Raw genomic sequence first — 15504 nt, forward strand, 5'->3', positions numbered from 1 at the left:
AGGAAGGTGTGCTGACCTTTGGCTTCTGGGTTTACTGACCCTAGTCCACCCGCGGCTGCTCCCTGCCTGGGCACGGCCCCCTGCTGTTTCTGTACGGCTACTCCTGGACATTGGCTGGGACTGGGGCCTGAGGCTGTCATACTGCCCTTGGCCCCAGTTTTGGAGTCTTAGGTATGGCCCTGTGGCCCCAAGTCATGTGGTGAGGTGTCCAGGACAGGAAAGGAAGCTACTGGGGTCACTCCCACCCTACCCAGAAAGAAACTTCCAGGCTTAGAAGCCTGCCTTCAGCCTTGGGCTGCTGGCCAGACCCCCAAGGGTTCCTGCCTCACGCTGGTGGGGTCTGGCTGCTGGCCCTGCCCAAGAACCTGGGTGAATTCATCAGCCACGTTCCTTTGTCTCAGGAATATCTCCTGGGACTCCAGCAAACGCTCTTCTCCTGCTGCCATTGCCATTTTATAAGGTCTCAGCGTGTCCGCCCCATGGTCAGTGTGGTCTGTGCAGTTGAAGTCGAGGCTGACTGATCTGGACCCTCAGCCACCATAGGCCACAGCCAGCCCTCAGCCACCATGGGCCACAGCCAGCCCTCAGCCACCATAGGCCACAGCCAGGCAGCCTTCTGGGGAGAGACAGCACTTAGGTGACCCTCAGCTGGGTTCTGCAAGCCACTGCTGCCCCGTAAACCAGCATTGTTCCACCTGAACTTAACCGTGACCTTGGCCCTGGGGCCACCTGCCTGAGCCTGTCAAGGAGACAGGGTTGGGCTGGGCAGGGGACACCACACAGAGGAGGGTGGATGGGCTGGGGTGGGGAGCGCCTGGGCAGGGTCTTGTCAGTGGCCCAGGCCTCTGAGAAGGACCGAGGACCTGTGGGCGTTCACAGGTGCCAGCTCTCTGCTCTCATCGGTCTGTTGCTCTTGTTCTTCATGCGTGGAGCCTGTGCCAGGCCCTGGGAGGGCAGTGGGGGAGAAGCAAGGGCCTCAGGCTTGCCCTTAGGTGACCCAGCGGTGTTGGTTTTAGGAGGAAGAGGCAGGGATGGGGCAGAGGAAGCGGGAGAGAGGCCGGGTCCCCGTCTCTCCTGTCTTTAAGTGGTAGAAGTGTCCTGACTGCCAGAGGCTGCCTGCACTCCCTGGCTCCTGGCCCCTTCCATCCTCAGTCTTCCAGTCTCTCCGACCTCTGACCTCTGACCCTGCCTCCTCCCTCTGCCTGGATGCTCTTTCCCAGGGTCTGTGGCCTCGCTGTGTTCCCTCCAGGCCTTGACTCAGAACTCACCTTCTCCCGAGGCTTTCCCAGAGCAGCCCTGTGTCCAGCCTGCCCCGTGCTCTTCTCAGGCCCCCTGGCCAGCTTGAGCTGTGGGCTGTCCCCGCTGGCCCAGGGCCTTTGCTCTGCTGCCGACGCGTCCCAGAACCTCACCCAGCACATGGAGGCGCTGGGTGGGTGTGGTGGGCTGGCCAGGTGTGGTCAGCGTCCTTTCCGCAGGTGTCCTCAGCGTGGCGGTGCTTGGTGAAATGGCTTTTGTGTTCTGTGTTGCACTGTTATGAAGCATAGTGAGGAAATTCACACCCTTGCTTCACCCACCTCTTGCCCCAGTCATGTAAGAGGAGCCCCGTTACTAGCTCCTGCCCAGGAGGAAGGGCTGGATGGGGACCAGTTCATGTCCTGCTGTGAGCGCCCCGCACCCTGGAGGAAGGTCAGGTGCTCAGGTCCGCTTACGGAGCAGAGACCCCTCTGCTGTTTCTGAGTCAGGCACCCCTGCCCCAGCATCCCAGAGTCGGGGTCGCGTGGACATGAGCGATGGTCACCTGGCCGTTCTCTCCCCCATAGAGGAGGAGCTCCGGAAGCTGCGAGAAGAAACCAACGCGGAGATGCTGCGGCAGGAGCTGGACCGCGAGCGGCAGCGGCGGATGGAGCTGGAGCAGAAGGTGCAGGAGGTGCTGAAGGCCAGGTACCGCGCCTTCCTCGGGGCCCTGGCCTGTGTGCGGCTGCCCCAACCCCCCACCCCACCCGCCCCGCCGTCCTCTGCTGCACCCATAGCGTCTTGGCAGCATCATTCTTGGCCCTGGAGAGGCCTGAGTGTGAGGGTGGGCCCGGCTCTGACTGCCCAGGTATAGGTCCTGCCTGTGCCTGCATGAGCTGTGGTCTTGGGAATGTGTCATCTTCCTGTGCCTCTGGCGGTCTGGAAAAGGGTGCACAGGTGCTCCTGCCAGCCCCCAGGCCTGGGGCCAGGCCAACTGAAGAGAGGCTTGGCATGGGGCCTGCAGAGCCCCAGAGCCACCTCATGGCTCTGATCCCGGCCTGCTGGTGACCCCATTCTGTACATCCACCCAGTGCCCCACCCCGGGGGCCAGCCCGGCCTCTTAGGATCTTCCCAGGACCTGCCTTCCCAGTGCTGCCTGTGCGTGTTCCCATGCCCCCTGTCTGCCCCAGCCACGCTGTGGCCCCCGCCCCCCTGCCCCCATCCTAGCAGTATCATGTCCTGGGCGCCAGTGCCGCCCTGGCTCCTAGAGAGGCATGTCTGCACCTGACATCTTTGCTCTTGTTTGTGGGTCCCATGTGGGACCCTGAGTGCTCACAGTCTCCTCCCTCACCCTGCCCTGCGCCTCACAGTGCCGCCAGCAGGAAGCAGGTCATTCAGGACCCCAGCGCAAGTTACAAAGCCAGTGCCCTCCTGTCTCGCTAACACCACGAGGCTCCGTGTCCCTCTGCACAAGTTCAAACTGGTGCCTGGTACATGAGGCCAGGGAGCTCAGGCCACTCACCTCTGGCTCCCAGGCCTCCCGCTCAGCCTCCACTCCAGCAACCTCCTGCTTCGGCCTCCCTCTCAGCCTCCACTCCAGCAGCCTCCTGCTTCGGCCTCCCTCTCAGCCTCCACTCCCTCAGCCTCCCCCCTCAGTCTCCACCCTCAGTTTCTGCCCAGCCTCCCCCCAGCATCATCTTCAGCCTCCGTCCTCAGACTCCACTCCCTCAGCCTCCCCACTCAGGTTCCACTCAGCCTCCCTCCAGCCTCCACTTAGCCTCCCTCCAGGTCTCCCACCTCAGCCTCCCACCACCATTGGCCACACCTTTGTCTGTGGCCCCCATGACCTGCATGGATGGCTGTCACCAGTTAGGGAGGCACACGGCATCTCTGGGACACCCCAGCTGAGCACTGCCTGCTATGAGCGCTCCGGGGGCCGTGTGTCATTGTCAGGACTCCAAGTGTCGCTGCTTAGCTGGCCCTGAGGAAGCGGCTCCCTTCAGCACCCTCAGGTTTAGTGTGTGGGAAGACGGGGGATCCGCTGGGCTGACTCCCACTTCTTCCTTGCCCGCCTCCTGCAGGTCAGCATGACCTTGTGGAGTGCCCTGGGGGGCTCATGTGGGGGCTCATGTGGGGGCATCCAGCTGGTGTGGGGGAGGGAGAGGCCTCACTTTCCTATTCCGCCCTGGCAGAACCTCCCAGACCAGAAATGGGTGCATGGGCCTCGGCAGGCGCTTTACCTGATGCTGAACCTTCTGGGAAAATCCACAGAAGCTCAAAGCTTAAATTACATTTAATTATGTAGAGTTGCAACAGAGACCTGACCTGCCACGCTGGGAGATCCCAGGGACAGGTGCGGTCCCCAGGCATTTGGCCACAGTGCCATCCCCGCCACGGGACGCTGCTTCTCCCCCGGTGGCTAAGGTGGCCTGAGGCTGTCCCCGTGGCCCTGCTCCCTGTGTTCTGTTTCCCATCCTCTCACTCCCGCCAGCCCCACTCCAGGATCTGGTCCTCATCTTTTACCAAAGCCCCTTGGTGGCAGGTGTGCCCAGCCCGGGTCAGCTGTAAGAACGCAGGGAGCCCCATCTCGCACAGTCTCTGCCTTGGGAATGGGTGGGGAATGGGCAGTGAAGGAACATCCAGGCTGTGACCCAGGAAGTGGAAGCTGAAGGTCCTGGGAGCATTAAGGGCTCTCCCCTGCTTTACATGGGGGCGGCGCTTAGGAACCTTCTGGAAGCCTGAAGGAGGAGGGGTGAAGGAAGAGCAGTCCCAGGCAGAGTGACCTCCTCTTTCCTTGTCGTCCTGGTGCAGATCTGGGGTGGGTCTGGGTGGCTGTGGTCTGTCCAGGGTGGGTAGGTGTGTGAGGGCACACACAAACATGCAGACACATGTGCGCACACACTGCACACACACATACCACACACTCTGAAGCTGCAGGATTAAAGCACAGCAGTTCTGTTTATGCAAACCTCTATTTTGGTTTTTAAGAAAATTCTCAGAAAGTCACCTTGGTTTAAGGCTACTTGTCAGTAGGCAGAGATTCTCTCCATTGTGGATCCAAAGTCCCCTGAAAACCTCACTGTCTGCTTCCTGCCCGCTGCTTACCTGGCCGTGCCCTGTGTGCCCTGTGCTCCGCCCTCTGTTCTCTTCTCAGGGTTTACTCCTCCCCCAGCTTCCTCCCTCCCCACTCCCGCTTCCCAAGAGTTAGGAAGGTTAGGGGCGACCACACAGCACTTGGCCCGGTTCTGTGCTGCACCTGCTCACAGGCCTTGGCTGGAGGGGCTGGGTGTGGGACGGAAGCAGACCCTAGTGGCCGTCTAGTGCCCCTGCCCAGTCCAGGCAGGTCGCTGGAGTAGGCTGAGCTGGGAGCTGGGTACAGGCTGCTGACAGGTGGCACCCAGCCTGTGGCCTGGCTTGGTGCCTGATAAACACATGTGTGTTGATCAGTATCTTTTCATTAGCAGACGGGTTGGTGATATGAGAGTATTCTGAGTTTAATGATGTTGAAAGAAGCAAGTGTGCTAAAATGAATAGGAAAGGAAAGAGTGGTGAAAGATGCTGGTTGTTTAAAAACAAAACGTGTGCCTGTTAGGAAGGCAGCTCTGTGCTTGCCTGGATACGCTCGGAACCAGCATTTCAGCAGTGGAGACTCTGGAGAGAGCCCTGCTGTCCCTGACCTCTCCTGTGCAGTACACGGTCGCGAGAGCCCTCGGGGGTGCCTGACTGGGCATGGAGTTTGGAACTAACAGACCTCTTGTCTCTTCTCTCCCTGCTTTTTAAGAACCGAGGAGCAGATGGCTCAGCAGCCCCCAAAAGGGCAGGCCCAGGCCAGCAATGGAGCAGGTACACCCTGGTGGGCGGGTGGACAGGCAGGCGGGCGGGTGGGTGGCTGCGCGTCACCTGCTGGTTCTGTAGGCCCAGGTTAACAATGGAGCAGATACCCCCTCCCCCAGCAGGTGGGCAGGCGGCAGGTGCTGGTTCTGTGCCCAGGCACCTGCTGGCATCCGGGAATCTCCTCCCGTCAGAACTGGGTTAGTGTCTCTGATGCGAAGTGGTGAGTCATCATAGTCGTCATCACAAATTTCCAGTCACTCAACTAAAGCGTGATTGTGTGTTCTTTGGGGAATACACACGTACTCTGTTTCAGCCTTGCCCCACGGAACAGTGATGTGAGAGCCACGCTGGTCACTGCCGCTGCCCTGGTGCCTCCCCGAAGGGGACCAAGTGGGCAGTGGGGCTATGGTTGGCTGTGAGTGGGGAGTTGGGGGTTCATGTGCCCTTTTATCTCTCTCCTCGTCCTCCATCCCTGAGTGCCTGTTCTTTATCTTGCCCCACGCCCTGCAGGCAGCCGGCATAGTTCCCTGTACCTGGGGGTCAGCAAACTCCAGCCCCCGCCTGGCTTCACAGATTTAAATGGTTTCATTTCATGACATGAGAACGTAATATAAACCTGAAATTTCAGTCCATAAATAAAGTCCATGGGAACACAGCCGGGCCGGTTCACTTACGGCTGGGACGAGTGTGCCGATCTCACCTGGACCCTCCCCTTAAAAACTCTGCCAGGCTGCCTTGGGGGCGGGAAGAAGCCGCAGGAGCCTGCCCTGGCCCCATCCTCCCTGCCCGGGTGGCCTTGGGGTACACAGACCTCAGCCCCCTTGGCCTGTGGCTCTTGAGCCTCTGCCCTGAGCCTGCAGCCCCCTGGGTATGGTGACCACAGGCCCTCTGGTCCCAGGGCCCAAAACTTTGGCGAGGCAGCACCCGCTGCAGGCGGCTCCTCACTGGCCTTCTGAAGGGAGGGACTGGCTTGCACCCCTGAGCCCCCCTTCCGAGGGATTCTTCCGGTTTCCCGCCGTGGAGGCTGCTTTCCAGAGGTGTTCGCTTTTGGTAAACATTGCTGGTCATCAGCACGACAACACCGTGCGCTCACCCTGGGCTGGCTGCGCTCGCCAGGCACCCCCAGCCCAGGACACAGCCTCCCGCTGCGCCATCCATTGGCTGATGCTCAGGATATGCAGGGCTGGGGCAGTGACCTCTCCATCTGCTTTCTGACAACCCGGAGGTAGAAAGGGGGTTTGATGCAGACGTCTGAGGTGGGCCGAGCAGCCTGGATGGACAGGCTGCCCGCTGACGAGAGCCCAGGGCGGGCAGAGAGCTGGGGACAGGGATGAAAAGCAGAGAGACCCGGCACTGAGGTCGTCATGGCTGGGGCAGCTCTGCTGTGTGCCGGTTGGTTTGCACTTGGTGTCTTCAGAGGACTGAGCCCTTCAAAGTCCCTTGTACAGGGACCCTTCATTTCCCTGACCTACCCCCGAGCATTCCTTGTGCCTCTGCTGGCCGCGCCCTTGCAGTGAGGCCCCTCCCTGCCCTGAGATCCCGGAGCCGACCCCAGAACAGGCAGTGCAGCCCTGCCGTGCCCTCACCGGGTCCCTGCCCCCTGCAGAGCGCCGGAGCCAGGGGCTGTCCTCGCGCCTGCAGAAGTGGTTCTACGAGCGGTTTGGGGAGTACGTGGAGGACTTCCGGTTCCAGCCCGAGGAGAACACTGTGGAGACAGAGGAACCCCTGAGCGCCCGCAGGTAGGGGTTCGCCGAGCTGGGGCTGCCTGTGCGTTAGGGGCCCCGGTCCCTGGGCTGAGGCTGCAGCGGGTGGGCCATCCTTTATCACCGTGGGCCAAAGCTGTCTGTGAGGCTGCCGAGAGCTCCTGGAGGCTCCGCTGTGTCTGGTCTTCTGGGGGCCGTGCCTGGCAGGGGCTTGCGAGGCCCGCTTAGGTGCAGCAGAGCTGCATGCGCGCACTGCTCTCAGCTGTGGCTTGTGACAGTTGTGTGGGGACTCATGGGGCTCAGCCCACTGCCTGGGGCCTTCCTTGGCTCTTGAGTCCCATCAGTAAACCTTGGTTCCCCTGCCAGGTGCTGCCATAGGCCCTGGGGGTCCCGAGGGAGCTAGGTCAGCAAAGGCCCTGCCCTTGAGGACTTCTGTTCTGGGGACACAGGCAGGAGATGAGGGGACGATTTCATTGGCGAGTCGCCCCTGCCTTCCTAACTTGGGGAGTGGCACTGAGGGCCATCCCGGCGCACCCTGCTGTGCTGAGCCGCCGTGCATGGCCATTCTGTGCACTCAAGGGGTCCCAGGCTGTTGAGACGTCCTCCCTGGCCCCTGCAGAGCCAACGGAACCGGGCAGTGGGGACTGCAGAGCCGGCGGGTGCATTAACCCTGGGCTCCCATCTCTCCCCTTCTCTCTTAGGTTAACTGAAAATATGAGACGGCTCAGTGAGTACCAGCGGCTCTGCGTGGCGCCCACGATGCTCAGTGTGGGTGGGGCCCATGGCGGTGGGGACTCTGGGATTCTGAGCTGAACCGACTCTCCAGGGAGACGTGGTTAAGCGGCCTCCTACCCACAGTGCTGACCACTGTGGTCTGCTCTGTCCCCAGAGCGCGGTGCCAAGCCGGTCACTAACTTTGTGAAGAACCTCTCTGCCTTATCCGACTGGTACTCCGTCTACACGTCTGCCATTGCCTTCACCGTGAGTGGGTCCTCCAGGGGCCGAGCAGGGTGGGTGGGATGTGCCTGCCAGCATTCACCACATGATCAGGCACCTTCCCAGGGTGGGAGGTGGCCCCCAGGTGGCACTTCCTCAGGCCCCAGGGACATGCTCATTTCTCCTTCTGTAAAGTGGGCTCACTGATGCCAGTGCCCAGCCATGGGGTGGCTTCAAGGATCAAAGATGTTGGGCGTGGCCCGGGGCTAGCCTGCAGGGCTCCCTGGACAGGGATGTGGTGCAGCCTTGTCCCCCAGGGTGCCCTTGGGAAAGGCCTCTTGGCACTCACCGTGCAGTGCGGTGGCCACGCTGCTGAGGTCCACAGAGTACCTGGTGCTGGGGCCAGGAGTACCTCCAAGGGCATGGCAGCACGAGGGGCCCAGCCCAGCCCCTGTGAGCCATGAGTCCTGAGGGATTGGAGGGTGCCAGGGCCCACATTGCCAGGGCCTTGGGGAAAAGGTGCCCAGCCGTCCTGCCTGGAACTGCCCTGCAGCGGCTGCCCCAGCGGGACAGGAGACTTGCCACCTGTGTCTCAGTACTTGGTCCTCGGGGGGAGCCCCCTCACCCAGGATGGAGACTGTGCCTCCAGCACGAGGAAGATGCAGGCAGCCCACCTGCTTGCTAGGGCCTCCAGGCCAGAGAGGAGGCGTCCACAGCCTGGCACTGTCCAGGGCTCCCAAAGGCAGCACTGCCCTGCTGAGCGGGCCCCTTGGGAGAGGTCCCCAGATGACCTCAGCCTGGGTCAGGCTCTCCAGGAAAGTCCCTGAAGCCTGTGGCCCTGTGCCTGCTGCGGGCACTTACCACTCACCTGGGACATGGGCACTTTGTTCACTCACAGATGAAGGCTGGGTGCTGGGACCACCGGCTTCACCCTGGCCCTGGAAGGCCTCTTCTCCTGCCACCCTCACAAATGCTTTGCGACAGGAGGCCTTTGCTGCCTGGGCTCCCACACGCTCCTGTGCCATGTCTGTTGTCACTAAGAGATGAGCCCAAGCTTTGAACCTGCCTTCCAGGCCTCACCTCCATCCCCTGCCCTGTGCACATCTGCTCTGCGTCCCGGGCTCTGTGCTGGGCACAGATGGTGCCTGGCATGAAGGTGGCCCCGGGCATGCACCTGGCTCGCCCTCAGCAGTGCTTGCCTGCCTCGCCCAGCCAGGCTGAGTCCTGGTGATGCCCCAAGTCTGGTGCGTGGGAGCCACACCGGGGCAGGCAGGACCCGCATGTGGAACCAGCCGCCCTCTTCTGTCCCCAGGACACGCTTCTCCCTAGGTGTCTCCTGGCTTCCACCGGCGGCTCTTAAACCGGGGAAGCAGCCCTTCCTCCGGCTTCCCCATCAGACGCACCCTCATCCCTGAGTGTCTGGAGAGCCAGCGGGTGGCCTGGTCTCCCCACTGGGGCCGCCTGGTGGGGGGAGGCGGGAGGGATGTGCCTTGTCCTGATCCAAGCTGTCAGGAGGTCTGACGCCCTGTCTCTCACCCGCAGGTGTACATGAATGCCGTGTGGCATGGCTGGGCCATCCCATTGTTCTTATTTCTAGCAATTCTGAGGTTATCCCTCAATTACCTCATCGCCAGGTAGGTGAGCCGGTTTGTTGCAGCTGCTTTATCCCACCGCATGTATGGCTGTGCTGTCTCCCTGCGTCTCACAACCGTGACCCCAGCTGGGTATGTCATGCACTGACGTTTTGGGGGTGGTCCCCTGACAGGCTCCAGAGACCCCCCAGGCAGGGCGGCTGCCCCCTCCCTGGTTTGCTAGAGATGGCAGTGGGAAGTTCCCAAATCCCCCAGCAGCTCCTTCCCCGGGCGGCCAGCAGAGCCAGGGCCGTTCCAGCACCTGCCCGAACATCGCAGGGGGCTTCTCCCCAACATCAGTGGGTAGGTGGGTGAAGCAAACAGGGCTCCACGCCCCGGAAGGTTCCTGCTGGCTGCCTGTTGGAGATGAGCCTGCTGGGGAGGAGCTGGACCGGGAATGAGTACCAGTCGCCTGCAGACAGCACGCCCGTGTGACTGACGCGTTAACCCCAACCCTGGCCTGAGTCAGGGCTCTCGTGTCACCCCTTATGCCCCCTCTGAGCACCCCCTCCCTGTGGAGGCTGAGGGGGGCTCTGGGAAGCCCATGCCCTGGGGTGGACCCCTAGTCCCTGCACTCCTGGGTCCTTCTTAGCCTGCGGTTACCCCTGGAGTGAACCTCAGCCTTGCACCGAGGCTCAGGGAAGAGCTGTGATTCTGTACTTTGACTTGGCCGTTCAAAAGTTTGCACTTTTATGCACCAGTGTTTCCAGATGGTTCTCTGTGCCTGCCCCAGTTGGCTCATTTGAAAATGTTTTTTGTAGAAATCACTTAAATACTCTGGAAGGTGTCGTTGGTACCCAGAGCTAGGTCAGGATCAGCTTGGACACTTGCTGATGCCACTTTGGATGTTGAAGGGCCGCCCTCTCCCACACCGCTGGCCACTTTTAAATATGTCCCCTCTGCCCAGAAGGGCCCCAGAGGAGGGGCTGGTGAGGGTGACAGGAGTTGACTGCTCTCACAGCAGGGGGTTCCGGAGGGACCTTTTCTCCCCATTGGGCAGCATAGAAGGACCTAGAAGGGCCCCCTCCAAGCCCAGCTGGGCGTGCAGGGCCAGCGATTCGATGCCTTCCCCTGACTCAGGTGGCGCTGTCCTAAAGGTGTGTGTGTTTTCTGTTCGCCAGGGGGTGGCGGATACAGTGGAGCATCGTGCCCGAAGTGTCTGAGCCCGTGGTAAGTCCCTGGAGGGTGCACGGTCTCCTCCGACTGTCTCCATCACGTCAGGCCTCACAGCCTGTAGGCACCGCTCGGGGAAGCCTCTGGATGAGGCCATGTGGTCATCCCCCTGGAGTCCTGGCCTGGCCTGAAGAGGAGGGGAGGAGGAGGCCAGCCCCTCCCTAGCCCCAAGGCCTGCGAGGCTGCAAGCCCGGCCCCACATTCTAGTCCAGGCTTGGCTGTGCAAGAAGCAGATTGCCTGGCCCTGGCCAGGCTTCCCAGCTAGGATGTGGTATGGCAGGGGTGGGGGACATTGAGGGGCTGCTGTAGCCCCCACAACCTCCCCAGGTAGGGTGGTGAACAGTAGGCTGGACAAGTGGACCTGTTCCCATCTGAGATTCAAGAGCCCACCTCTCGGAGGTTGCAGTGAGCCGAGATCCCTCCACTGCACTCCAGCCTGGGCAACAGAGCAAGACTCTGTCTCAAAAAAACAGAACAACGACAACAAAAAACCCACCTCTGGCCCACTGCCTAACTTTGTAAATAAAGTTTTATTGGCACATAGACACACCCATTCATTTACATACTGCTGCGGCTGCTTTTGCATTACCCTTGAGTAGACGACAGACCACGTGGCCATGGAAGCCAAAAATATTTACTGTCTGGCCCTTTACAGAAGTCTGCTCTAGAGGGAGACCCCGGCCCATGGGGCAGGACCACTGGGCGTGGGCAGAAGGGAGGCCTCGGTGCCTCCACGGGCCTAGTTGGGTATCTCAGTGCCTGTTTCTTGCATGGAGCACCAGGGGTCAGGGCAAGTACCTGGAGGAGGCAGGCTGTTGCCCGCCCAGCACTGGGACCCAGGAGACCTTGAGAGGCTCTTAACGAATGGGAGACAAGCAGGACCAGGGCTCCCATTGGCTGGGCCTCAGTTTCCCTGCCTGTAAGTGAGGGAGGGCAGCTGTGAAGGTGAACTGTGAGGCAGAGCCTCTGCTCAGCCATTGCAGGGGCGGCTCTGCCCCACTCCTGTTGTGCACCCAGAGTGAGGGGCACGGGGTGAGATGTCACCATCAGCCCATAGGGGTGTCCTCCTGGTGCCAGGTCCCCAAGGGATGTCCCATCCCCCCTGGCTGTGTGGGGACAGCAGAGTCCCTGGGGCTGGGAGGGCTCCACACTGTTTTGTCAGTGGTTTTTCTGAACTGTTAAATTTCAGTGGAAAATTCTCTTTCCCCTTTTACTGAAGGAACCTCCAAAGGAAGACCTGACTGTGTCTGAGAAGTTCCAGCTGGTGCTGGACGTCGCCCAGAAAGCCCAGGTACTGCCACGGGCGCCGGCCAGGGGTGTGTCTGCGCCAGCCATGGGCACCAGCCAGGGGTGTGTCTACGCCGGCCAGGGGTAGGTCTCCGCCGGCCTCCGCTGCTGCCTGGGGAGGGCCGTGCCTGACACTGCAGGCCCGGTTTGTCCGCGGTCAGCTGACTTGTAGTCACCCTGCCCTTGGATGGTCGTTACAGCAACTCTGGTGGTTGGGGAAGGGGCCTCCTGATTCAGCCTCTGCGGACGGTGCGCGAGGGTGGAGCTCCCCTCCCTCCCCACCGCCCCTGGCCAGGGTTGAACGCCCCTGGGAAGGACTCAGGCCCGGGTCTGCTGTTGCTGTGAGCGTGGCCACCTCTGCCCTAGACCAGAGCTGGGCCTTCCCCGGCCTAGGAGCAGCCGGGCAGGACCACAGGGCTCCGAGTGACCTCAGGGCTGCCCGACCTGGAGGCCCTCCTGGCGTCGCGGTGTGACTGACAGCCCAGGAGCGGGGGCTGTTGTAATTGCTGTTTCTCCTTCACACAGAACCTTTTCGGGAAGATGGCTGACATCCTGGAGAAGATCAAGAAGTAAGTCCCGCCCCCCACCCCGGCCCTGCGGCGCCCGCCCGGCCTGAGCCTCCCGTCTCCTTCCAGCTTGTTCATGTGGGTCCAGCCGGAGATCACACAGAAGCTGTATGTGGCGCTCTGGGCTGCCTTCCTGGCCTCCTGCTTCTTCCCCTACCGCCTGGTGGGGCTTGCCGTGGGTAAGTAGATGCACCTGCGGCCTGTAGCTTCAGGAGGAGGGACACAGGTGTCCGCATGCCACCAGTGTCTGCCAGGTGTCTGCAAGAGCTGTTAAACTCACCTGGCGATCCTTCCTCTGCTTTTTGTCACAAATGTTTCAATTTGGGAGAAGTGAAGCCCATCCGAGATCGAGGGACACGGTGATTGTTTCTTAAATCAAGAAGCCCTCCACTTCCAAGGCCCCCATGTCTCCTGCAAAGTGGGAGGAGCTGGAAGACCCAAGACCCAGGATAGCAGGACTTGGGGTGTCAGGGAATTGCCCTGGGCAGGACATGCCTCTTGGGGCGCCTGTGGGCTTAGGGGTGACAGTCATGGAGAGCCTGAGAGCCTGGTTTGATGTGCAGGGAGGTTGGTTGTAGCTGATGAGTTTGGTGACATCACGTGAAGCCAAGGGTCTCATCCACTAAAACACTCATCTGCAGAGCTGGCGGCGGGGAAGGAGGGTGGCTGGCGGTGAGGACCGGGCTGTGCCGGGAGGTGGGTGGGGTGTGGTGGCCCCCCCTCACCCCAGGAGGCGCTCATCCACTGCTGCCCAGCATGCTCTCTTCCCTCCTTTCTCTTTTCTTTTTTCTTGCTTCCCTCCTTTATCTTTGTCTTTCTCCTTTTCTTTGTTTTTGTCTCTCTCTCTCTCTTTTTTTTTTTTTGGAGACGGAGTGTCGCTCTGTCGCCCAGGCTGGAGTGCAGTGGCGTGATCTCGGCTCACTGCAACCTCCGCCTCCCGGGTTCAAGTGATTCTCCTGCCTCAGCCTCCCAAGTAGCTGGGACTACAGGCACCCGCCACCACGCCCAGCTAATTTTTTTTGTATTTTTAGTAGAGACGGGGTTTCACCTTATTGGCTAGGCTGGTCTGGAACTCCTGACCTCAGGCGATCTGCCCACCTCGGCCTCCCAAAGTGCTGGGATTACAGGCGGGAGCCACTGCGACTGGTCTCTTCTGTTTTGTTTTGTCTTGTCTTGTTTCTTTTCTTTTCTTTCTCTTTTCCTCAATAACAACGATCCAGTGTCTGACATGGGCCACACACTGGCATGTGGGAGCGAGGCCGCCAGGGTCCTGTCCTTGAGGGGCAGGTGGGACTCGCCTGAGCCCACGCAGGACAGCGTGTGCGGCTGTAGGAGCCACAAAGCCAGGGGTGGGGAGAGCTCCGTGCCGGAGTCGGGAGGTCAGACCCCGGCCCCTCAGCAGTCTAGGCTTGGCGTGCTGCGCAGAGGAGCAGTGGGGGCTGTGTCTGTGTGGAAGAGCAGATGCCCCCTGCCACGTTTCCTGAATGCCTTTACCATAACGCAAGCCCGACCCTAGCCCTGACCCAGCGTAACTGCTGGTGGGAGGACAGGCCTCTCTGGACGCAGCACGGCTGAGCTGTCCAACAGCAGCTCACTGTGGCCATCAGGTGGCATCACCAGGAGTGGGCAGAGCCAGATCTGATCAGACCCTTACCCCGACAATGCCCTGGAGCCCCTCTGGCTAGCACCCAGGACTCTAGGCTCATGAATGGGTAGGTGACCACTGTGACCTCCTGTTGGACCCCTAGGCCTGGGTCCAGGTGCCGAGGCTCCAGAGCTGCAGTGCACTTGCGGCCCTGGACAGCTCCGGGGCAGGCCGCCCTCCACGGGGAGCCTGGGGGTGTGCACCTGGGTCTTGGTGTCCTGCATCTGCCCTGCTGTCCTTTTTTTTCAAGACAGCGTCTCAGTCTGTCTCACCCAGGCTGGAGTGCAGTGGCACGATCTCGGCTCACTGCAACCTCCATCCCCTGAGTTTAAGTGATTGTCCTGCCTCAGCCTCGGGAGTAGCTGGGATTACAGGGGTGCACCACCACACTCAGCTAATTTTTGTATTTTTAATAGAGACGAGGTTTCACCATGTTGGCCAGGCTGGTATTGAACCCCTGACATCATGATCCGCCCGCTCGGCCTCCCAAAGTGCTAGGATTCCAGGCGTGAGCCACTGCGCCCGGCCCCTGCTGTCCTTTTTTGTGACACCCAGTGTGGTTTGGGTTCTCACAACCACCCTGAGATCACCACTGCCACTGGGCAGCGGTGACCCTGCCAGGTGTGGGCCAAGATGGCATTCCTGGCTTATCGGTGCCCATGTATTCTTTTGCAGTGCTGACAAGGGACCTCAGCTTAGAGGGGCAGAGGCTGCCTGCTCCAAGCAAGGATGGCCCCAGCTGGGACTTGGGCTCTCTTGAGCTGAGCTGTCCCTCCTGGGTCGGCCACCACGTGGAGGAGGCCTGGGAGCTCAGTCCAGTCAGCCAAGGGGGTGGTCCTGGCCCTGCCCCTCCTCACACCTAGCATCTTTCAAGAATCAACAAGTTGTCCGGACACGGTGGCTCACGCCTGTAATCCCAGCACTTTGGAAGGCCGAGGCGGGTGAATCACTTGAGGTCAGGAGTTCGAGACCAGCCCAGCCAACATGGTGAAACCCCGTCTCTACCAAAAATACAAAATGTAGCCGCGTGTGGAGCTTGCAGTGAGCTGAGATCGCGCCACTGCACTCCAGCCTGGGCGACAGAGCAAGACTCTGTCTCAAATAAAAAAATTAAAATTAAAATTAAAAAAAATTAGCCAGGCATGGTGGCAGGCGCCTGTAGTCCCAGCTACTCAGGGGGCTGAAGCAGGAGAATGGCGTGAACCCGGGAGGCGGAGCTGGCAGTGAGCCAAGATCATGTTGCTGCACTCCTGCCTGGGCGACAGAGCAAGACTCCGTCTCAAAAATAAAATAAAATAAAATAAAATAAAATAAAATAAAAAATTTAGCCGGGTGTGGTGGTAGGCTCCCAGCTACTCGAGAGGCTGAGGCAGGAGAATCGCTTGAACCCGGGAGGTTGCAGTGAGCTGAGATCAAGCCATTGCACTCCAGCCTGGGCAACAGAGCAAGACTCTGTCTCAAAAAAAAGAATCAACAAGTTGAGAATTGGGGTCAAA

General features: G+C 60.5%; 1 protein-coding gene across 17 annotated transcripts in view, besides 2 other annotated features; it reads left to right on the forward strand.

Moving 5' to 3' along the window:
* The window catches only part of GRAMD4 (GRAM domain containing 4), a 107013-nt gene that overhangs the window by 80623 nt on the left and 10886 nt on the right, over positions 1-15504 (forward strand). For all 17 annotated transcript variants that reach the window (XM_006724169.2, XM_047441210.1, XM_011530012.2 and 14 more), the window contains 10 exons: positions 1821-1941; positions 5015-5076; positions 6674-6806; positions 7472-7497; positions 7660-7751; positions 9249-9340; positions 10459-10507; positions 11730-11801; positions 12323-12366; positions 12433-12542. In XM_006724169.2, coding sequence (XP_006724232.1) covers positions 1821-1941; positions 5015-5076; positions 6674-6806; positions 7472-7497; positions 7660-7751; positions 9249-9340; positions 10459-10507; positions 11730-11801; positions 12323-12366; positions 12433-12542 — 801 coding nt within the window. The remainder of the gene's footprint in view (positions 1-1820; positions 1942-5014; positions 5077-6673; positions 6807-7471; positions 7498-7659; positions 7752-9248; positions 9341-10458; positions 10508-11729; positions 11802-12322; positions 12367-12432; positions 12543-15504) is intronic.
* Positions 5492-6075: an enhancer, noted in NCBI's record as "H3K4me1 hESC enhancer chr22:47057755-47058338 (GRCh37/hg19 assembly coordinates)". NCBI's record gives its function as "activates a minimal SCP1, AML or CMV promoter by ChIP-STARR-seq in naive and primed H9 embryonic stem cells {active_cell/tissue: H9 hESC(naive and primed)}" and the evidence as "EXISTENCE:reporter gene assay evidence [ECO:0000049][PMID:30033119]".
* Positions 13257-13757: an enhancer, noted in NCBI's record as "H3K4me1 hESC enhancer chr22:47065520-47066020 (GRCh37/hg19 assembly coordinates)". NCBI's record gives its function as "activates a minimal SCP1, AML or CMV promoter by ChIP-STARR-seq in naive H9 embryonic stem cells {active_cell/tissue: H9 hESC(naive)}" and the evidence as "EXISTENCE:reporter gene assay evidence [ECO:0000049][PMID:30033119]".

The sequence above is a fragment of the Homo sapiens genome, chromosome 22 (genome assembly GCF_000001405.40).
Source record: "Homo sapiens chromosome 22, GRCh38.p14 Primary Assembly".
Taxonomy (NCBI): domain Eukaryota; kingdom Metazoa; phylum Chordata; class Mammalia; order Primates; family Hominidae; genus Homo; species Homo sapiens.